General features: G+C 37.1%; 17 annotated features.

Moving 5' to 3' along the window:
- Positions 3,103-3,794: an enhancer, noted in NCBI's record as "OCT4-NANOG-H3K27ac-H3K4me1 hESC enhancer chr2:90374628-90375319 (GRCh37/hg19 assembly coordinates)". NCBI's record gives its function as "activates a minimal SCP1, AML or CMV promoter by ChIP-STARR-seq in naive and primed H9 embryonic stem cells {active_cell/tissue: H9 hESC(naive and primed)}" and the evidence as "EXISTENCE:reporter gene assay evidence [ECO:0000049][PMID:30033119]".
- Positions 3,808-4,597: an enhancer, noted in NCBI's record as "OCT4-NANOG-H3K27ac-H3K4me1 hESC enhancer chr2:91596821-91597610 (GRCh37/hg19 assembly coordinates)". NCBI's record gives its function as "activates a minimal SCP1, AML or CMV promoter by ChIP-STARR-seq in primed H9 embryonic stem cells {active_cell/tissue: H9 hESC(primed)}" and the evidence as "EXISTENCE:reporter gene assay evidence [ECO:0000049][PMID:30033119]".
- Positions 4,598-5,387: an enhancer, noted in NCBI's record as "OCT4-NANOG-H3K27ac-H3K4me1 hESC enhancer chr2:91597611-91598400 (GRCh37/hg19 assembly coordinates)". NCBI's record gives its function as "activates a minimal SCP1, AML or CMV promoter by ChIP-STARR-seq in naive and primed H9 embryonic stem cells {active_cell/tissue: H9 hESC(naive and primed)}" and the evidence as "EXISTENCE:reporter gene assay evidence [ECO:0000049][PMID:30033119]".
- Positions 5,388-6,177: an enhancer, noted in NCBI's record as "OCT4-NANOG-H3K27ac-H3K4me1 hESC enhancer chr2:91598401-91599190 (GRCh37/hg19 assembly coordinates)". NCBI's record gives its function as "activates a minimal SCP1, AML or CMV promoter by ChIP-STARR-seq in primed H9 embryonic stem cells {active_cell/tissue: H9 hESC(primed)}" and the evidence as "EXISTENCE:reporter gene assay evidence [ECO:0000049][PMID:30033119]".
- Positions 9,878-10,381: an enhancer, noted in NCBI's record as "OCT4-NANOG hESC enhancer chr2:91602891-91603394 (GRCh37/hg19 assembly coordinates)". NCBI's record gives its function as "activates a minimal SCP1, AML or CMV promoter by ChIP-STARR-seq in naive H9 embryonic stem cells {active_cell/tissue: H9 hESC(naive)}" and the evidence as "EXISTENCE:reporter gene assay evidence [ECO:0000049][PMID:30033119]".
- Positions 11,392-11,897: an enhancer, noted in NCBI's record as "OCT4-NANOG-H3K27ac hESC enhancer chr2:91604405-91604910 (GRCh37/hg19 assembly coordinates)". NCBI's record gives its function as "activates a minimal SCP1, AML or CMV promoter by ChIP-STARR-seq in naive and primed H9 embryonic stem cells {active_cell/tissue: H9 hESC(naive and primed)}" and the evidence as "EXISTENCE:reporter gene assay evidence [ECO:0000049][PMID:30033119]".
- Positions 11,898-12,401: an enhancer, noted in NCBI's record as "OCT4-NANOG-H3K27ac hESC enhancer chr2:91604911-91605414 (GRCh37/hg19 assembly coordinates)". NCBI's record gives its function as "activates a minimal SCP1, AML or CMV promoter by ChIP-STARR-seq in naive and primed H9 embryonic stem cells {active_cell/tissue: H9 hESC(naive and primed)}" and the evidence as "EXISTENCE:reporter gene assay evidence [ECO:0000049][PMID:30033119]".
- Positions 12,986-13,496: an enhancer, noted in NCBI's record as "OCT4-NANOG hESC enhancer chr2:90384511-90385021 (GRCh37/hg19 assembly coordinates)". NCBI's record gives its function as "activates a minimal SCP1, AML or CMV promoter by ChIP-STARR-seq in primed H9 embryonic stem cells {active_cell/tissue: H9 hESC(primed)}" and the evidence as "EXISTENCE:reporter gene assay evidence [ECO:0000049][PMID:30033119]".
- Positions 14,086-14,647: an enhancer, noted in NCBI's record as "OCT4-NANOG-H3K27ac-H3K4me1 hESC enhancer chr2:90385611-90386172 (GRCh37/hg19 assembly coordinates)". NCBI's record gives its function as "activates a minimal SCP1, AML or CMV promoter by ChIP-STARR-seq in primed H9 embryonic stem cells {active_cell/tissue: H9 hESC(primed)}" and the evidence as "EXISTENCE:reporter gene assay evidence [ECO:0000049][PMID:30033119]".
- Positions 15,772-16,334: an enhancer, noted in NCBI's record as "OCT4-NANOG-H3K27ac-H3K4me1 hESC enhancer chr2:90387297-90387859 (GRCh37/hg19 assembly coordinates)". NCBI's record gives its function as "activates a minimal SCP1, AML or CMV promoter by ChIP-STARR-seq in naive H9 embryonic stem cells {active_cell/tissue: H9 hESC(naive)}" and the evidence as "EXISTENCE:reporter gene assay evidence [ECO:0000049][PMID:30033119]".
- Positions 16,335-16,896: an enhancer, noted in NCBI's record as "OCT4-NANOG-H3K27ac-H3K4me1 hESC enhancer chr2:90387860-90388421 (GRCh37/hg19 assembly coordinates)". NCBI's record gives its function as "activates a minimal SCP1, AML or CMV promoter by ChIP-STARR-seq in naive and primed H9 embryonic stem cells {active_cell/tissue: H9 hESC(naive and primed)}" and the evidence as "EXISTENCE:reporter gene assay evidence [ECO:0000049][PMID:30033119]".
- Positions 17,460-18,020: an enhancer, noted in NCBI's record as "OCT4-NANOG hESC enhancer chr2:90388985-90389545 (GRCh37/hg19 assembly coordinates)". NCBI's record gives its function as "activates a minimal SCP1, AML or CMV promoter by ChIP-STARR-seq in primed H9 embryonic stem cells {active_cell/tissue: H9 hESC(primed)}" and the evidence as "EXISTENCE:reporter gene assay evidence [ECO:0000049][PMID:30033119]".
- Positions 18,021-18,583: an enhancer, noted in NCBI's record as "OCT4-NANOG-H3K27ac hESC enhancer chr2:90389546-90390108 (GRCh37/hg19 assembly coordinates)". NCBI's record gives its function as "activates a minimal SCP1, AML or CMV promoter by ChIP-STARR-seq in primed H9 embryonic stem cells {active_cell/tissue: H9 hESC(primed)}" and the evidence as "EXISTENCE:reporter gene assay evidence [ECO:0000049][PMID:30033119]".
- Positions 18,584-19,145: an enhancer, noted in NCBI's record as "OCT4-NANOG-H3K27ac hESC enhancer chr2:90390109-90390670 (GRCh37/hg19 assembly coordinates)". NCBI's record gives its function as "activates a minimal SCP1, AML or CMV promoter by ChIP-STARR-seq in naive H9 embryonic stem cells {active_cell/tissue: H9 hESC(naive)}" and the evidence as "EXISTENCE:reporter gene assay evidence [ECO:0000049][PMID:30033119]".
- Positions 19,708-20,269: an enhancer, noted in NCBI's record as "OCT4-NANOG hESC enhancer chr2:90391233-90391794 (GRCh37/hg19 assembly coordinates)". NCBI's record gives its function as "activates a minimal SCP1, AML or CMV promoter by ChIP-STARR-seq in naive H9 embryonic stem cells {active_cell/tissue: H9 hESC(naive)}" and the evidence as "EXISTENCE:reporter gene assay evidence [ECO:0000049][PMID:30033119]".
- Positions 20,833-21,394: an enhancer, noted in NCBI's record as "OCT4-NANOG-H3K27ac hESC enhancer chr2:90392358-90392919 (GRCh37/hg19 assembly coordinates)". NCBI's record gives its function as "activates a minimal SCP1, AML or CMV promoter by ChIP-STARR-seq in naive H9 embryonic stem cells {active_cell/tissue: H9 hESC(naive)}" and the evidence as "EXISTENCE:reporter gene assay evidence [ECO:0000049][PMID:30033119]".
- Positions 21,395-21,957: an enhancer, noted in NCBI's record as "OCT4-NANOG-H3K27ac hESC enhancer chr2:90392920-90393482 (GRCh37/hg19 assembly coordinates)". NCBI's record gives its function as "activates a minimal SCP1, AML or CMV promoter by ChIP-STARR-seq in naive H9 embryonic stem cells {active_cell/tissue: H9 hESC(naive)}" and the evidence as "EXISTENCE:reporter gene assay evidence [ECO:0000049][PMID:30033119]".

Raw genomic sequence — 21,957 nt, 5'->3', positions numbered from 1 at the left:
GAATTCGATGTTTCCAATCAATTCCATTCAATGATGCTTCCATTCGAGGCTGTCTGATGACTCTATTCATTTCCATTCTACAATGATTCCCTTTGAGTCCTTTTGAAGATTTGATTCGAGTCCTTTCGATAATCCCATTCGATTCCGTTCGATGATGATTTCGTTCGAGTCCATTTGACGCGTCCCTTCGAGTACATTTGATGATTCCATTCGAGTCCAACTGATGATTCCATTCAATTCCATTCTGTGATGTTTCCGTATGATTCCATTCGATGATGATTCCATGTGATTCCTTTCGATGATGATTCATTTTAATTGCATTTGATTATGATTCATTTCCAGTTCATTCGACGATTCCACACGATTCCATTCGAGGATGATTCCATTCGAGTGTATTTGATGATTCCTTTCGATTCCATTAGAAGATGATTCCATTTGATTCCGTTCATTGGTGATCCCATTCAATTCCATTCAATGATTCCATTCCATCCCATTCAACAATGATTCCATTTGATTCCATTTGATGATTCCTTCCGCTTGATTCCATTTGATGATGATTCCATTCGATTCCATTCGATGATGATTGCCTTCAATTCCATTCGATGATTCCATTCGATTCCATTCGATGACGATTCGGTTTGATTCCATTTGATGATTCCATTCGAGTCCATTCGATGATTCCATTCGATTCCATTTGATGATGATTCCATTTGAGTCCATTCGATGATTCCATTCGAGTCCATTTAATGATTCCATTCATTCGAGTCCATTTGATGATTCCATTCGATTGCATTTTATGATTATTCCATTCGTGTCCATTAGATGATTCCATTCGTGTCCATTCAATAATTCCATTCAATTCCTTTCGATCATTCCATTCGATTCTATTTGACATTTCCATTCGAGTCCGTTTGTTCATTCATTCGTGTCCATTCGATGACTCCATTCGATTCCATTTGATGATGATCCCATTTGATGATGATTCCATTCGAGTCCATTTGATGACTCCATTTGATTCCATTTGATGATGATTCCATTCGTGTCCATTAAATGTTTTTGTTCTATCCCATTCAATGAGGATTCCCTTCAAATCCATTTGATGATTGTATTCAAGTCCATTCAGTGATTGCTTTCGGTTCCATTTGATATTGATTCCCTTTGATTCCATTCGATGAGTGTTCCATTCGATGTCATTCTATGATTCCATTAGATTCCATTTGATGTTGATTGCATTTGATTCCATTTGATTATTCTATTCGATTTTTTTTGATGACGATTCCATTCGATTCCATTCAGTGATTCCAGTTCATTACAGTTGATGGTGATTCCTTTCGATTCCATTCGATGATTCCATTTGATTCCAATCGATGATGATTCCATTCGAGTCCATTCGATGATTCCATTCGATTCCATTCAATGATGATTCCATTCGAGTCCATTCAATGGTGATTCCATTGGATTCCATTCGGTGATGCCATTCGATTCCGTTCTATGATTGCATTCGATTCCATTTGATGATTCCCTTCGATTCCATTCAAAGTTTATTCCATTCGAGTCAGTTTGATAATTCCATTCGATTCCATTCTCCGATGATTCCACTGGATCCCGTTCGATGATTCCATTCAATTCCAGTTGATGGTGATTCCATTCGAGTCCATTTAATGATTTCCTTGGATTCCATTTGATGATGACTCCTTCCGGTTCCATTCCATGATGATTCCATTGGGTTCCATTAGATAGTGATTCCATTCAAGTCCATTCGATGATTCCATTCGATTCCATTCGATGATGATTCCATTCCGTTCCATTCGATGATTCCTTTCGATTCCATTTGATGTTGATTCCATTTGAGTCCATTTGATTATTCCCTTTGAATGCATTCCATGATTCCTTTCGATTCCATTTGATATTGCTTCCATTCGAGTCCATTCGATGATTCCATTTGATTTCATTCAATGATGATTCGATTCAATTCCGTTCGATGATTCCATTTGACTCCATTCGATGACAACTCCATTCGAGTCCATTCGATGATTCCTTTCGAGTCCATTTCATGATTCTATTTGGTTCCATTCGATGATGATTCCTTTGAATTCCATTCGTTGGTGATTCCATTCGATTCCATTCGATGATGATTCCATTCAATTGCATTCGATGATGATTCCATTCGATTCCATTCGATGATGATTCCATTCGGTTTCATCCGATGATTCTATTCAATTCCTTTCTATGATTATTCAATTCTTTTCCATTTGATGATTCCATGTGATTCCATTTGATGATGATTCCATTCGTTTGCATTCGATGATGATTCCATTCAGGTCCATTCAAAGATTCCATTCGATTCCATTCTATGATGATTGCATTCGAGTTCATTTGATGATTCCATTCGACTCCATTCGATGATGATTCCATTCGTTGCTATTCAATGATTCCATTCGATTCCATTTGCTGATGATTCCATTCGACTCCATTCAATGATTCCATTCGATTCCACTCAATGAGGATTCCTTTCGTGTCCATTTGATGATTCTGTTCAATTCCATTCGATGATGATTCCTATCAAATCAATTTGATGATTCCATTCGAGTACATTCGATTATTCCATTTGATTTTATTCGATGATGATTCCATTCGATGCCATTCGATGATTCCATTCGATTCCATTCAATGGTGATTCCATTCGATGCCATTCGATGATTCCATTCAATCCTATTTGATGATGATTCCATTCGTGTCCATTCGATGATTCCGTTCTTTCCATTCGATGATGATTCCATTTGAATCCATTCGATGATTCCTATCTATTCCATTCGATGACTCCGTTCAATCCCATTCGGTGTTCCCCTTCGATTGTCTTTGATGATCATTCCATTCGATTCAATTTGGTGATTCCATTCCATGATGATTCCTTTCGATTCCATTCGATGAGGATTCCATTCGGTTCCATTTGATGATGATTACATTCGATTCCATTTGACGATGATTCCATTCGAGTCCATTTGATGATTACATTCGATTGCATTTGATGATGATTCCACTCAAGCCCATTCGCTTATTCCATTCGAGTCCATTCAATGATTCCATTAGATTCCATTCGATGATGATTCCATTCGAGTTCACTCGATGATTCCATTGTATTCCATTCAATGATGATTCCTTTCAGGTCCATTAGATGATTCCATTAGATTCTATTTGATGATGACTCCATTAGTGTCCATTCTTTGATTCCATTCGATTCCATTCGATGATGATTCTATTCGAGTCCATTCGTTGATTCCATTCGATTCCATTCAATTATGATTCCATTCAAGTCCAATTGATGATTACAGTCGTTTCCATTCGATGATGATTCCCCTCGAGTCCATTCGATGATTCCACTCGAGTCCATTCGATGATTTCCTTAGATTCCATTCAATGATGATTCCACTCAATGCAATTCAATGACTAAATTCGATTCCATTCGATGTTGTTTCCGTTCAATTCCATTTGATGATTCTATTCGATTCAATTCAGTGATGGTTACATTCGTGTCCACTCGATGATTCCATTCTATTCCATTCGATGATTATTCCATTAGACTCCATTCGATGATGATTCCATTCGATTTCATTCTGTGAATCTATTCATTTCCATTCGATGATGATTCCATTCTTTTCCAGTCGACGATTCCATTCGATGCCATTCGATGATTACATTCGATTACATTCGACGATGACTCCATTCTATTCCATTTGATGATTCCATTCGATTCCATTCGATGAGGATTCCATTTGATTCCATTCAATGATGATTCCATTCATGTCCATTCGATTGAATTACATTTCATTGCTTTCGATGATGATTCCATTCACGTCCATTAGATGATTCCATTTGATTCCATTCATTGATGATTCCATTCAGATTCCATTTGATGATTCCATTCGATTCCATTTGATGATTCCATTCAATTGCATTCAATGATTCCATTCGATTCCATTCGATGATGATTCCCTTCGAGTCCATTAGAAGATTCCATAACATTCCATTCGATGGTGATTCCTTTCCATTTCATTCAATGATTCCATTCGATTCCATTCGATGATGATTCCCTTCGAGTCCATGAGATAATTTCATAACATACCATTCGATAGTGATTCCATTTGATTTCATTCGATGGTGATTCCATTTGATTCCATTCGATGATTCCTTTCGTGTCCATTCGATGACACCATTGGATTCCATTCGATGATTTCATTCGTTTCCACTTGTTGATGATTCCATTCGATTCCATTCGATGATGATTCCATTCGATTCCCTTCATTGATGATTCGATTAGATTCCATTTGATGATGATTCCATTCGATTCCATTCAATGAAGATTCCATTCAATTCCATTTGATGATGATTCCATTTGACTCCATTCAATGATGATTCCATTCGATTCCATTCAAAGATTCAATTCGAGTCCATTCAATGATTCCATTCGATTCCACTTGATGATGATTCCTTTCAAGTCCATTCAATGATTCCATTCAATTCCATTAGATAATAATTCCTCTCAAGTCCATTCAATGATTCCATTCAGTTGCATTCGATGATTCCATACGATTTCATTCGATGATGATTCCATTTGAGTCCATTTGATGTTTCCATTAGATTCCATTCGAGCATAATTCCTTTCGAGTCCATTCGATGATTCCATTCAATTCCATTCCATGATGATTCCATTTCATTCCATTCAATGATGATTCCATTCGAGTCCATTCTATGATTCCTTTCTATTCCATTCGTTGATTCCATTCAATTCCATTCGATGATGATTGCATTCGACGACATTCAATGATTCCACTCGATTCCATCTGATGATTGGAGTCCATTCGGTGATTCCTTTAGATTCCACTCAAAGACGATTCCATTCAATTCCATTCCATGATACCATTCGATTCCATTCATTGATGATTCCATTTGATTCCATTTGATGATTCCATTTTATTCCATTCGATGATGATTCCATTCCATTCCATTTGATGATTCCATTCCATTCCATTAGATGTTGATTCCATTCGTGTCCACTTGATGATTCCATTCTTTTCCGTTCGACCATGATTCCATTCGAGTACATTCGATGATTCCATTCGATTGCATTCGATGATTCCATTCGAGTATATTCGATGATTCCACTCGATTCCATACGACGATTATTCCATTGGAGTCCATTTGGCGATTCCTTTAGGTTCCACTCGAAGATGATTCAATTTGATTCCATTCGATTATACCATTCGATTCCATTCATTCATGATTCCATTCAAGTGCATTTGATGATAACATTCGATTCCATTTGATGATGATTCCATTCGTTTCCACTTGATTATTCATTTCCATTCCATTCAGTGATGATTCCATTAGAGTCAATTCGATGATTCCGTTGGAGTCCATTTGATGATGATTCCATTCAGTGATTCCATTCAATTCTATTTGATAATGATTCCAATCGATTCCATTCGATGCTGATTCCATGGTATTCCATTCTATGGTTTCATTCGGTTGCATTAGACAATGACTCCATTCGATTCCAATTGATGATTCCATTTGATTCTATTTCATGATGATTCCATTCGATTCCATTTGATGATGATTGCATTCTATTCAATTCGATGATGATTCCATTCGGGTCCATTAGATGATTCCATACGATTCCATTCGATGACGATTCCATTCTATTCCATTCAATGATGATTCCATTCGGGTCAATTATATGATTCCATTCGATTCCTTTTGATGATGATTCCATTCGGGTCCATTCGATGATTTCATTCTTCTCCATTCGATGATGATTACATTCAAGTCTATTCGATGATTCTATTAGAGTCCATTGAATGATTGCTTTTGATTCCATTCGATGCTGATTCCATTCCATTCCATTCCACTCCATTCCATTCGATGATGATTCCATTCGATACCATTTTATGATTCCTTTAGATTCCATTTCATGCTGATTCCATTCAATTTCATTCAAAGATTCTATTCAAATCCATTCAATGATGATTCCATTAGATTCCATTTGATGATTCCATTTGATTTCATTTGATGATGTTTCCATTTGATTCCATTTGGTGATTCCATTCAATGATGGTTCCATTCGAGTCCATTCAATGATTCCTTTCTACTCTATTTGATGATGATTCCATGCGAGGGCATTCAATGGTGATTCCTTTGGATACCATTCAATGATTCCATTCGATTGCATTCAATGATGATTGCATTCGATTCCATTCGATGATTCCGTTTCATTCCATTCAAAGATGATTCCATTCGATTCCATTTGATAATTCCATGCGATTCCATTCGATCGTTCCAATGGATTCAATTTGATGATGATTCCATTTGTGTCTATTCGATGATTCCATTCAATTCCATCAGATGATGGTTCCATTCGAGTGAATTCGATGTTTCCAATCAATTCCATTCAATGATGCTTAAATTCGAGGCTGTCTGATGACTCTATTCATTTCCATTCTACAATGATTCCCTTTGAGTCCTTTTGAAGATTTGATTCTAGTCCTTTCGATGATCCCATTCGATTCCATTCGATGATGATTCCTTTCGAGTCCATTTGACGCGTCCCTTCGAGTACATTTGATGATTCCATTCGAGTCCAACTGATGATTCCATTCAATTCCATTCTGTGATGTTTCCGTATGATTCCATTCGATGATGATTCCATGTGATTCCTTTCGATGATGATTCATTTTAATTGCATTTGATTAGGATTCATTTCCAGTTCATTCGACGATTCCACACGATTCCATTCGATGATGATTCCATTCGAGTGTATTTGATGATTCCTTTCGATTCCATTAGAAGATGATTCCATTTGATTCCGTTCATTGGTGATCCCATTCAATTCCATTCAATGATTCCATTCCATTCCATTCAACAATGATTCCATTTGATTCCATTTGATGATTCCTTCCGCTTGATTCCATTTGATGATGATTCCATTCGATTCCATTCGATGATGATTGCCTTCAATTCCATTCGATGATTCCATTCGATTCCATTCGATGACGATTCGGTTTGATTCCATTTGATGATTCCATTCGAGTCCATTCGATGATTCCATTCGATTCCATTTGATGATGATTCCATTTGAGTCCATTCGATGATTCCATTCGAGTCCATTTAATGATTCCATTCATTCGAGTCCATTTGATGATTCCATTCGATTGCATTTTATGATTATTCCATTCGTGTCCATTAGATGATTCCATTCGAGTCCATTCAATAATTCCATTCAATTCCTTTTGATGATTCCATTCGATTCTATTTGATGTTTCCATTCGAGTCCATTTGTTCATTCATTCGTGTCCATTCGATGACTCCATTCGATTCCATTTGATAATGATCCCATTTCATGATGATTCCATTCGAGTCCATTGGATGACTCCATTTGATTCCATTCGATGATGAGTCCATTTGAATCCTTTCGATGTTTCCTATCGATTCCATTCGATGACTCCGTTCAATCCCGTTCGATGTTTCAATTCGATTGTCTTTGACGATCATTCCATTCGATTCAATTTGGTGATACCATTCGATGACGATTCCGTTCGATTCCATTCGATGAGGATTCCCTTCGATTCCATTTGATGATGATTCCATTCGATTCCATTTGACGATGATTCCATTCGAGTCCATTTGATGATTCCATTCGATTCCATTTGATGATGATTCCACTCAAGCCCATTCGATTATTCCATTCGAGTCCATTCAATGATTCCATTAGATTCCATTCGATGATGATTCCATTCGAGTCCATTCGATGATTCCATTCGATTCCATTCAATGATGATTCCTTTCAGGTCCATTAGATGATCCCATTAGATTCCATTAGATGATGACTCCATTAGAGTCCATTCTTTGATTCCATTCGATTCCATTCGATGATGATTCTGTTCGAGTCCATTCGTTGATTACTGTCGATTCCATTCAATGATGATTCCCCTCGAGTCCATTCGATGATTCCACTCGAGTCCATTCGATGATTTCCTTAGATTCCATTCAGTGATGATGATTCCATTCGATTCCATTTGATGATGATTGCATTCTATTCAATTCGATGACGATTCCATTCTATTCCATTCAATGATGATTCCATTCGAGTCCATTCAATGGTGATTCTATTGGATTCCATTTGGTGATGCCATTCGATTCTGTTCGATGATTGCATTCGATTCCATTTGATGATTCCCTTCGATTCCATTCAAAGTTTATTCCATTCGAGTCCGTTTGATAATTCCATTCGATTCCATTCTCCGATGATTCCACTGGTGTCCGTTCGATGATTCCATTCAATTCCAGTTGATGATGATTCCATTCGAGTCCATTCAATGATTTCATTGGATTCCATTTGATAATGACTCCTTCCGGTTCCATTCCATGATGATTCCATTCGGTTCCATTAGATAGTGATTCCATTCAAGTCCATTCGATGATTCCATTCGATTCCACTTGATTTTGATTCCATTGGAGTCCATTTGATTATTCCCTTTGAATGCATTCCATGATTCCTTTCGATTCCATTTGATATTGCTTCCACTCGAGTCCATTCGATGATTCCATTTGATTTCATTCAATGATGACTCGATTCAATTCCGTTTGATGATTCCATTTGATTCCATTTGATGACAACTCCATTCGAGCCCATTCGATGATTCCTTTCGAGTCCATTTGATGATTCTATTTGGTTCCATTCGATGATGATTCCTTTGAATTCCATTCGTTGGTGATTCCATTCGATTCCATTCGATGATGATTCCATTCAATTGCATTCGATGATGATTCCATTCGATTCCATTCGATGATGATTCCATTCGGTTTCATTCGATGATTCTATTCAATTCCTTTCTATGAGTATTCAATTCTTTTCCATTTGATGATTCCATGTGATTCCACTTGATGATGATTCCATTCGTTTGCATTCGATGATGATTCCATTCAGGTCCATTCAAAGATTCCATTCGATTCCATTCTATGATGATTGCATTCGAGTTCATTTGATGATTCCATTCGACTGCATTCGATGATGATTCCATTCGTTGATATTCAATGATTCCATTCGATTCCATTTGCTGATGATTCCATTCGACTCCATTCAACGATTCCATTCGATTCCATTCAATGAGGATTCCATTCGAGTCCTTTTGATGATTCTGTTCAATTCCATTCGATGATGATTCCTCTCAAATACATTTGATGATTCCATTCGAGTACATTCGATTATTCCATTTGATTTTATTCGATAATGATTCCATTCGATGCCATTCGATGATTCCATTCGATTCCATTCAATGGTGATTCCATTCGATGCCATTCGATGATTCCATTCAGTCTTATTTGATGATGATTCCATCCGTGTCCATTCGATGATTCCGTTCGTTTCCATTCGATGATGATTCCATTTGAATCTATTCGATGATTCCTATCGATTCCATTCGATGACTCTGTTCAATCCCATTCGATGTTTCCCTTCGATTGTCTTTGATGATCATTCCATTCGATTCAATTTGGTGATTCCATTCCATGATGATTCCGTTCGATTCCATTCGATGAGGATTCCATTCGATTCCATTGAATGATGATTCCATTCGATTCCATTTGACGATGATTCCATTCGAGTCCATTTGATGATTCCATTCGATTCCATTTGATGATGATTCCACTCAAGCCCATTCGATTATTCCATTCGAGTCCATTCAATGATTCCATTAGATTCCATTCGATGATGACTCCATTCGAGTCCATTCGATGATTCCATTCGATTCCATTCAATGATGATTCCTTTCAGGTCCATTAGATGATTCCATTAGATTCCATTTGATGATGACTCCATTAGAGTCCATTCTTTGATTCCATTCGATTCCATTCGATGATGATTCTATTGGAGTCCATTCGTTGATTCCATTCGATTCCATTCAATCATGATTCCATTCGAGTCCAATCGATGATTACAGTCAATTCCATTCGATGATGATTCCCCTCGTGTCCATTCGAATATTCCACTCGAGTCCGTTCGATGATTTCCTTAGATTCCATTCAATGATGATTCCACTCAATGCAATTCAGTGACTAAATTCGATTCCATTCGATGTTGTTTCCATTCAAGTCCATTTGATGATTCTATTCGATTCCATTCAATGATGATTCCATTCGTGTCCACTCGAAGATTCCATTCTATTCCATTCGATGATTATTCCATTAGACTCCATTCCATGATGATTCCATTCGATTTCATTCTGTGATTCTATTCATTTCCATTCGATGATGATTCCATTCTTTTCCAGTCGATGATTCCATTCGATGCCATTCGATGATTACATTCGATTACATTCGACGATGACTCCATTCTATTCCATTTGATGATTCCATTCGATTCCATTCGATGAGGATTCCATTTGATTCCATTCAATGATGATTCCATTCATGTCCATTCGATTGAATTACATTTCATTGCATTCGATGATGATTCCATTCGCGTCCATTAGATGATTCCATTTGATTCCATTCATTGATGATCCCATTCAGATTCCATTCGATGATTCCATTCAATTGCATTCAATGTTTCCATTCGATTCCATTCGATGATGATTCCCTTCGAGTCCATTAGAAGATTCCATAACATTCCATTCGATGGTGATTCCTTTCCATTTCATTCAATGATTACATTCGATTCCATTCGATGATGATTCCCTTGGATTCCATGAGATGATTTCATAACATTCCATTCGATGGTGATTCCTTTGGATTCCATTCGATGGTTATTCCATTTGATTCGTTTCGATTATTCCTTTCATGTCCATTCGATGACACCATTGAATTCCATTCGATGACTTCATTCGTATCCACTTGTTGATGATTCCTTTCGATTCCATTCGATGATGATTCCAGTCGATTCCCTTCATTGATGATTCGATTAGATTCCATTTGATGATGATTCCATTCGAGTCCATTCAATGAAGATTCCATTCAATTCCATTTGATGATGATTCCATTTGACTACATTCAATGATGATTCCATTCGATTCCATTCAAAGATTCAATTCGAGTCCATTCAATGATTAAATTCGATTCCATTTGATGATGATTCCTTTCAAGTCCATTCAATGATTCCATTCAATTCCATTCGATAATAATTCCTTACAAGTCCATTCAATGATTCCATTCAGTTGCATTCTATGATTCCATACGTTTTCATTCGATGATGATTCCATTTGAGTCCATTTGATGATTACATTAGATTCCATTCGAGCATAATTCCTTTCAAGTCCATTCGATGATTCCATTCAATTCCATTCCATGATGATTCCATTTGATTCCATTCAATGATGATTCCATTCGAGTCCATTCTACGATTCCTTTCTATTCCATTCGTTGATTCCATTCAATTCCATTCGATGATGATTGCATTCGACTACATTCGATGATTCCACTCGATTCCATCCGACGATTGGAGTCCATTCGGTGATTCCTTTACATTGCACTCAAAGACGATTCCATTCAATTCCATTCCATGATACCATTCGATTCCATTCATTGATGATTCCATTTGATTCCATTTGATGATTCCATTTTATTCCATTCGATGATGATTCCATTCCATTCCATTTGATGATTCCATTCCATTCCATCAGATGTTGATTCCATTCGTGTCCGCTTGATGATTCCATTCTTTTCCGTTCGACCATGATTCCATTCGATTCCATTCGATGATTCCATTCGAGTACATTCGATGATTCCATTCGAGTACATTCGATGATTCCACTCGATTCCATACGATGATTATTCCATTGGAGTCCATTTGGCGATTCCTTTAGTTTCCACTCGAAGATGATTCCGTTTGATTCCATTCGATTATACCATTCGATTCCATTCATTGATGATTCCATTCAAGTGCATTTGATGATACCATTCGATTCCATTCGATGATGATTCCATTCGTTTCCATTTGATTATTCCATTCTATTCCATTCAATGATGATACCATTAGTGTCAATTCGATGATTCCATTGGAGTCCATTTGATGATGATTCCATTCAGTGATTCCATTCAATTCTATTTGATAATGATTCCCATCGATTCCATTCGATGTTGATTCCATGGGATTCCATTCTATGATTTCTTTCGATTGCATTAGACAATGACTCCATTCGATTCCATTTGATGATTCCATTCGATTCTATTTGATGATGATTCCATTCGATTCCATTTGATGATGATTGCATTCTATTCAATTCGATGATGATTCCATTCGTGTCCATTAGATGATTCCATACGATTCCATTCGATGACGATTCCATTCTATTCCATTGAATGATGATTCCATTCGGGTCCATTATATGATTCCACTCGATTCCATTTGATGATGATTCCATTCTTCTCCATTCGATGATGATTACATTCAAGTCTATTCGATGATTCTATTAGAGTCCATTGAATGATTGCTTTTGATTCCATTCGATGCTGATTCCATTCCATTCCATTCCATTCCATTCCATTCGATGATGATTCCATTCGATACCATTCTATGATTCCTTTAGATTCCATTTCATGCTGATTCCATTCAATTTCATTGAAAGATTCTATTCGAATCCATTCAATGATGATTCCATTCGATTCCATTTGATGATTCCATTTGATTTCATTTGATGATGATTCCATTTGATTCCATTTGGTGATTCCATTCAATGATGGTTCCATTCGAGTCCATTCAATGATTCCTTTCTACTCTATTTGATGATGATTCCATGCGAGGTCATTCAATGTTGATTCCTTTGGATACCATTGCATGATTCCATTCGATTCTATTCAATGATGATTGCATTCGATTCCATTCGATGATTCCATTTGATTCCATCCAAAGATGATTCCATTCGATTCCATTTGATAATTCCATGCGATTCCATTCGATCGTTCCAATGGATTCCATTTGATGATGATTCTATTTGTGTCCATTCGATGATTCCATTGAATTCCATACGATGATGATTCCATTCGAGTGAATTCGATGTTTGGAATCAATTCCATTCAATGATGCTTCCATTCGAGGCTGTCTGATGACTCTATTCATTTCCATTCTACAATGATTCCCTTTGAGTCCTTTTGAAGATTTGATTCGAGTCCTTTCGATGATCTCGTTCGATTCCATTCGAGGATGATTCCGTTCGAGTCCATTTGACGCGTCCCTTCGAGGACATTTGATGAGTCCATTCGAGTCCAACTGATGATTCCATTCAATTCCATTCTGTGATGTTTCCGTATGATTCCATTCGATGATGATTCCATGTGTTTCCTTTCAATGATGATTCATTTTAATTGCATTTGATTATGATTCATTTCCAGTTCATTCGACGATTCCACATGATTCCATTCGATGATATTTCCATTCGAGTGTATTTGATGATTCCTTTCGATTCCATTAGAAGATGATTCCATTTGATTCCGTTCATTGGTGATCCCATTCAATTCCATTCAACGATTCCATTCCATTCCATTCAACAATGATTCCATTTGATTCCATTTGATGATTCCTTCCGCTTGATTCGATTTGATGATGATTCCATTCGATTCCATTCGATGGTGATTGCCTTCAATTCCATTCGATGATTCCATTCGATTCCATTCGATGACGATTCGGTTTGATTCCATTTGATGATTCCATTCGAGTCCATTCGATGATTCCATTCGATTCCATTTGATGATGATTCCATTTGAGTCCATTCGATGATTCCATTCGAGTCTATTCAATGATTCCATTCATTCGAGTCTATTTGATGATTCCATTCGATTCCATTTTATGATTATTCCATTCGTGTCCATTATATGATTCCATTCGAGTCCATTCAATAATTCCATTCAATTCCTTTCGATGATTCCATTCGATTCTATTTGATGTTTCCATTCGAGTCCATTTGTTCATTCATTCGTGTCCATTCGATGACTCCATTCGATTACATTTGATGATGATCCCATTTGATGATGATTCCATTGGAGTCCATTTGATGACTCCATTTGATTCCATTCGATGTTGATTCCATTCGTGTCCATTCAATGTTTTTGTTCTATTCCACTCAATGAGGATTCCCTTCAAATCCATTTGATGATTGTATTCAAGTCCATTCAGTGATTGCTTTCGATTCCATTCGATATTGATTCCCTTTGATTCCATTCGATGAGGATTCCATTCGATGTCATTCTAGGATTCCATTCGATTCCATTTGATGTTGATTGCATTTGATTCCATTTGATTATTCTATTCGATAATTTTGATGACGATTCCATTCGATTCCATTCAGTGATTCCAGTTCATTACAGTTGATGATGATTCCTTTCGATTCCATTCGATGATTCCAATTGATTCCAATCGATGATGATTCCATTCGAGTCCATTCGATGATTCCATTCGATTCCATTCAATGATGATTCCATTCGAGTCCATTCAATGGTGATTCCATTGGATTCCATTCGGTGATGCCATTCGATTCCGTTCGATGAAAGCATTCGATTCCATTTGATGATTCCCTTCGATTCCATTCAAAGTTTATTCCATTCGAGTCCATTTGATAATTCCATTCGATTCCATTCTCCGAGGATTCCACTGGAGTCCGTTCGATGATTCCATTCAATTCCAGTTGATGATGATTCCATTCGAGTCCATTCAATGATTTCATTGGATTCCATTTGATGATGACTCCTTCCGGTTCCATTCCATGATGATTCCATTCGGTTCCATTAGATAGTGATTCCATTCAAGTCCATTCGATGATTCCATTCGATTCCATTCGATGATGATTCCATTCCGGTCCATTCGATGTTTCCTTTCGATTAAACTTGATGTTGATTCCATTTGAGTCCATTTGATTATTCCCTTTGACTGCATTCCATGATTCCTTTCGATTCCATTTGATATTGCTTCCATTCGAGTCCATTCGATGATTCCATTCGATTTCATTCAATGATGATTCGATTCAATTCCGTCCGATGATTCCATTTGACTCCATTCGATGACAACTCCATTCGAGTCCATTCGATGATTCCTTTCGAGTCCATTTGATGATTCTATTTGGTTCCATTCGATGATGATTCCTTTGAATTCCATTCGTTGGTGATTCCATTCGATTCCATTCGATGATGATTCCATTCGATTGCATTCGATGATGATTCCATTCGGTTTCATTCGATGATTCCATTCAATTCCTTTCTATGATTATTCAATTCTTTTCCATTTGATGATTCCATGTGATTCCATTTGATGATGATTCCATTCGTTTGCATTCGATGATGATTCCATTCAGGTCCATTCAAAGATTCCATTCGATTCCATTCTATGATGATTGCATTCGAGTTCATTTGATGATTCCATTCGACTCCATTCGATGATGACTCCATTCGTTGATATTCAATGATTCCATTCGATTCCATTTGCTGATGATTCCATTCGACTCCATTCAACGATTCCATTCGATTCCATTCAATGAGGATTCCATTCGAGTCCTTTTGATGATTCTGTTCAATTCCATTCGATGATGATTCCTCTCAAATCCATTTGATGATTCCATTCGAGTACATTCGATTATTCCATTTGATTTTATTCGATGACGATTCCATTCGATGCCATTCGATGATTCCATTCGATTCCATTCAATGGTGATTCCATTCGATGCCATTGGATGATTCCATTCAATCCTATTTGATGATGATTCCATTCCTGTCCATTCGATGATTCCGTTCGTTTCCATTCGATGATGATTCCATTTGAATCCATTCGATGATTCCTATCGATTCCATTCGATGACTCCGTTCAATCCCATTCGATGTTTCCCTTCGATTGTCTTTGATGATCATTCCATTCGATTCAATTTTGTGATTCCATTCCATGATGATTCCGTTCGATTCCATTCGATGAGGATTCCATTCGATTCCATTTGATGATGATTCCATTCGATTCCATTTGACTATGTTTCCATTCGAGTCCATTTGATGATTCCATTCGATTCCATTTGATGATGATTCCACTCAAGCCCATTCGATTATTCCATTCGAGTCCATTCAATGATTCCATTAGATTCCATTCGATGATGATTCCATTCGAGTCCATTCGATGATTCCATTCCATTCCATTCAATGATGATTCCTTTCAGGTCCATTAGATGATTCTATTAGATTCCATTTGATGATGACTCCATTAGAGTCCATTCTTTGATTTCGATTCCATTCGATGATGATTCTATTCGAGTCCATTCGTTGATTCCATTCGATTCCATTCAATGATGATTCTATTCGAGTCCAATCGATGATTACAGTCGATTCCATTCGATGATGATTCCCCTCGAGTCCATTCGATGATTCCACTCGAGTCCGTTCGATGATTTCCTTAGACTCCATTCAATGATGATTCCACTCAATGCAATTCAATGACTAAATTCGATTCCATTCGATGTTGTTTCCATTCAAGTCCATATGATGATTCTATTCGATTCCATTCAATGATGATTCCATTCGTGTCCACTCGATGATTCCATTCTATTCCATTCGATGATTATTCCATTAGACTCCATTCGATGATGATTCCATTCGATTTCATTCTGTGATTCTATTCATTTCCATTCGATGATGATTCCATTCTTTTCCAGTCGATGATTCCATTCGATGCCATTCGATGATGATTGCCTTCCAGTCCATTAGAAGATTCCATAACATTCCATTCGATGGTGATTCCTTTCCTTTTCATTCAATGATTCCATTCGATTCCATTCGATGATGATTCCCTTCGATTCCATGAGATGATTTCATAACATTCCATTCGATCGTGATTCCATTGGATTCCATTCGATGGTGATTCCATTTGATTCCATTCGATGATTCCTTTCGTGTCCATTCGATGACACCATTGGATTCCATTCAATGATTTCATTCGTTTCCACTTGTTGATGATTCCATTCGATTCCATTCGATGATGCTTCCATTCGATTCCCTTCATTGATGATTCGATTAGATTCCAATTGATGATGATTCCTTTCGAGTCGATTCAATGAAGATTCCATTCAATTCCATTTGATGATGATTCCATTTGACTCCATTCAATGATGATTCCATTCGATTCCATTCGATTCCATTCAAAGATTCAATTCGAGTCCATTCAATGATTCCATTCGATTCCACTTGATGATGATTCCTTTCAAGTCCATTCAATGATTCCATTCAATTCCATTCCATAATAATTCCTTTCAAGTCCACTCAATGATTCCATTCAGTTGCATTCGATGATTCCATATGATTTCATTCGATGATGATTCCATTTGAGTCCATTTGATGATTCCATTAGATTCCATTCGAGCACAATTCCTTTCGAGTCCATTCGATAATTCCATTCAATTCCATTCCATGATGATTCCATTTGATTCCATTCAATGATGATTCCATTCGCGTCCCTTCTACGATTCCTTTCTATTCCATTCGTTGATTCCATTCAGTTCCATTCGATGATGATTGCATTCAACTACACTCGATGATTCCACTTTATTCCATCCGATGATTGGAGTCCATTCGGTGATTCCTTTAGATTCCACTCAAAGACGATTCCATTCAATTCCATTCCATGATACCATTTGATTCCATTCATTGATGATTCCATTTGATTCCGTTTGATGATTCCATTTGATTCCATTCGATGATGATTCCATTCCATTCCATTTGATGATTCCATTCCATTCCATTAGATGTTGATTCCATTCGTGTCCACTTGATGATTCCCTTATTTTCCGTTCGACCATGATTCCATTCGATTCCATTCGATGATTCCATTCGATTCCATTCGATGATGATTCCATTCGTTTCCATTTGATTATTCCATTCTATTCCATTCAGTGATGATTCCATTAGAGTCAATTCGATGATTCCGTTGGAGTCCATTTGATGAGGATTCCATTCAGTGATTCCATTCAATTCTATTTGATAATGATTCCAATCGATTCCATTCTATGTTGATTCCATGGGATTCCATTCTATGATTTCATTCGATTGCATTAGACAATGACTCCATTCGATTCCATTTGATGATTCCATTCGATTCTATTTGATGATGATTCCATTCGATTCCATTTGATGATGATTGCATTCTATTCAATTCGATGATGATTCCATTCGTGTCCATTAGATGATTCCATACGATTCCATTCGATGACGATTCCATTTGATTCCATTCGATGATGATTCCATTCGTGTCCATTCGATGATTCCATTCTTCTCCACTCGATGATGATTACATTCAAGTCTATTCGCTGATTCTATTAGAGTCCATTGAATGATTGCTTTTGATTCCATTCGATGCTGATTCCATTCCATTCCATTCCATTCCATTCCATTCGATGATGATTCCATTCGATACCATTCTATGATTCCTTTAGATTCCATTTCATGCTGATTCCATTCAATTTCATTCAAAGATTCTATTCGAATCCATTCAATGATGATTCCATTCGATTCCATTTGATGATTCCATTTGATTTCATTTGATGATGATTCCATTTGATTCCATTTGGTGATTCCATTCAATGATGGATCCATTCCAGTCCATTCAATGATTCCTTTCTACTCTATATGATGATGATTCCATGCGAGGGCATTCAATGGTGATTCCTTTGGATACCATTCGATGATTCCATTCGATTCCATTCAATGATGATTGCATTCGATTCCATTCGATGATTCCATTGGATTCCATTCAAAGATGATTCCATTCGATTCCATTTGATAATTCCATGCGATTCCATTTGATCGTTCCAATGGATTCCATTTGATGATGATTCCATTTGTGTCCATTCGGTGATTCCATTCAATTGCATCAGATGATCATTCCATTCGAGTGAATTCGATGTTTCCAATCAATTCCATTCAATGATGCTTCCATTCGAGGCTGTCTGATGACTCTATTCATTTCCATTCTACAATGATTCCCTTTGAGTCCTTTTGAAGATTTGATTCGAGTCCTTTTGATGATCCCGTTCGATTCCATTCGATGATGATTCCGTTCGAGTCCATTTGACGCGTCCCTTGGAGTACATTTGATGATTCCATTCGAGTCTAGCTGATGATTCCATTCAATTCCATTCTGTGATGTTTCCGTATGATTCCATTCGATGATGATAACATGTGATTCCTTTCGATGATGATTCATTTTAATTGCGTTTGATTATGATTCATTTCCAGTTCATTCGATGATTCCACATGATTCCATTCGATGATGATTCCATTCGAGTGTATTTGATGATTCCTTACGATTCCATTAGAAGATGATTCCATTTGATTCCGTTCATTGGTGATCCCATTCAATTCCATTCAATGATTCCATTCCATTCCATTCAACAATGATTCCTTTTGATTCCATTTGATGATTCCTTCCACTTGATTCCATTTGTTGATGATTCCATTCGATTCCATTCGATGATGATTGCCTTCAATTCCATTCGATGATTCCATTCGATTCCATTCGATGACGATTCGGTTTGATTCCATGGGATGATTCCATTCGAGTCCATTCGATGATTCCATTCGATTCCATTTGATGATGATTCCATTTGAGTCCATTCGATGATTCCATTCGAGTCCATTCAATGATTCCATTCATTCGTGTCCTTTAGATGATTCCATTCGAGTCCATTCAATCATTGCATTCAATTCCTTTCGATGATTCCATTCGATTCTATTTGATGTTTCCATTCGAGTCCATTTGTTCATTCATTCGTGTCCATTCGATGACTCCATTCGATTCCATTTGATGATGATCCCATTTGATGATGATTCCATTCGAGTCCATTTGATGACTCCATTTGATTCCATTCGATGATGATTCCATTCGTGTCCATTCAATGTTTTTGTTCTATTCCATTCAATGAGTATTCCCTTCAAATCCATTTGATGATTGTATTCAAGTCCATTCAGTGATTGCTTTCGATTCCATTCGATATTGATTCCCTTTGATTCCATTCGATGAGGATTCCATTCGATGTCATTCTAGGATTCCATTCGATTCCACTTGATGTTGATTGCATTTGATTCCATTTGATTATTCTATTCGAATATTTTTGATGACGATTCCATTCGATTCAATTCAGTGATTCCTGTTCATTACAGTTGATGATGATTCCTTTCGATTCCTTTCGATGATTCCATTTGATTCCAATCGATGATGTTTCCATTCGAGTCCATTCGATGATTCCATTCGATTCCATTCAATGATGATTCCATTCGAGTCCATTCAATGGTGATTCCATTGGATTCCATTCGATGATTCCATTCGATTCCGTTCGATGATTGCATTCGATTCCATTTGATGATTCCCTTCGTTTCCATTCAAAGTTTATTCCATTCGAGTCCGTTTGATAATTCCATTCGATTCCATTCTCCGATGATTCCATTCGAGACCGTTCGATGATTCCATTCAATTCCCGTTGACGATGATTCCATTCGAGTCCATTCAATGATTTCATTGGATTCCATTTGATGATGACTCCTTCCGGTTCCATTCCATGATGATTCCATTCGGTTCCATTAGATAGTGATTCCATTCAAGTCCATTCGATGATTCCATTCGATTCCATTCGATGATGATTCCGTTCCGGTCCATTCGATGATTCCTTTCGATTCCACTTGATGTTGATTCCATTTGAGTCCATTTGATTGTTCCCTTTGAATGCATTCCATGATTCCTTTCGATTCCATTTGATATTGCTTCCATTCGAGTCCATTCGATGATTCCATTTGATTTCATTCAATGATGATTCGATTCAATTCCGTTCGATGATTCCATTTGATTCCATTCGATGACAACTCCATTCGAGTCCATTCGATGATTCCTTTCGAGTCCATTTGATGATTCTATTTGGTTCCATTCGATGATGATTCCTTTCAATTCCATTCGTTGGTGATTCCATTCGATTCCATTCGATGATGATTCCATTCAATTGCATTCGATGATGATTCCATTCGATTCCATTCGATGAAGATTCCATGCGGTTTCATTCGATGATTCTATTCAATTCCTTTCTATGATTATTCAATTCTTTTCCATTTGATGATTCCATGTGATTCCATTTGATGATGATTCCATTCGTTTGCATTCGATGATGATTCCATTCAGGTCCATTCAAAGATTCCATTGGATTCCATTCTATGATGATTGCATTCGAGTTCATTTGATGATTCCATTCGACTCCATTCGATGATGATTTCATTCGTTGATCTTCAATGATTCCATTCGATTCTATTTGCTGATGATTCCATTCGACTCCATTCAATGATTCCATTCGATTCCATTCAATGAGGATTCCATTCGAGTCCATTTGATGATTCTGTTCAATTCCATTCGATGATGATTCCTCTCAAATCCATTTGATGATTCCATTCGAGTACATTCGATTATTCCATTTGATTTTATTCGATGATGATTCCATTCGATGCCATTCGATGATTCCGTTCGATTCCATTCAATGGTGATTCCATTCGATGCCATTCGATGATTCCATTCAATCCTATTTGATGATGATTCCATCCGTGTCCATTCGATGATTCCGTTCGTTTCCATTCGATGATGATTCCATTTGAATCCATTCGATGATTCCTATCGATTCCATTCGATGACTCCGTTCAATCCCATTCGATGTTTCCCTTCGATTGTCTTTGATGATCATTCCATTCGATTCAATTTGGTGATTCCATTCGATGATGATTCCGTTCGATTCCATTCGATGAGGATTCCATTCGATTCCATTTGATGATGATTCCAATCGATTCCATTTGACGATGATTCCATTCGAGTCCATTTGATGATTCCATTCGATTCCATTTGATGATGATTCCACTCAAGCCCATTCGATTATTCCATTCGAGTCTATTCAATGATTCCAGTAGATTCCACTCGAT

This window comes from Homo sapiens, chromosome 2, assembly GCF_000001405.40.
Source record: "Homo sapiens chromosome 2, GRCh38.p14 Primary Assembly".
In the NCBI taxonomy this organism is placed as follows: domain Eukaryota; kingdom Metazoa; phylum Chordata; class Mammalia; order Primates; family Hominidae; genus Homo; species Homo sapiens.
This window is presented reverse-complemented; position numbering and strand designations above follow the sequence as displayed.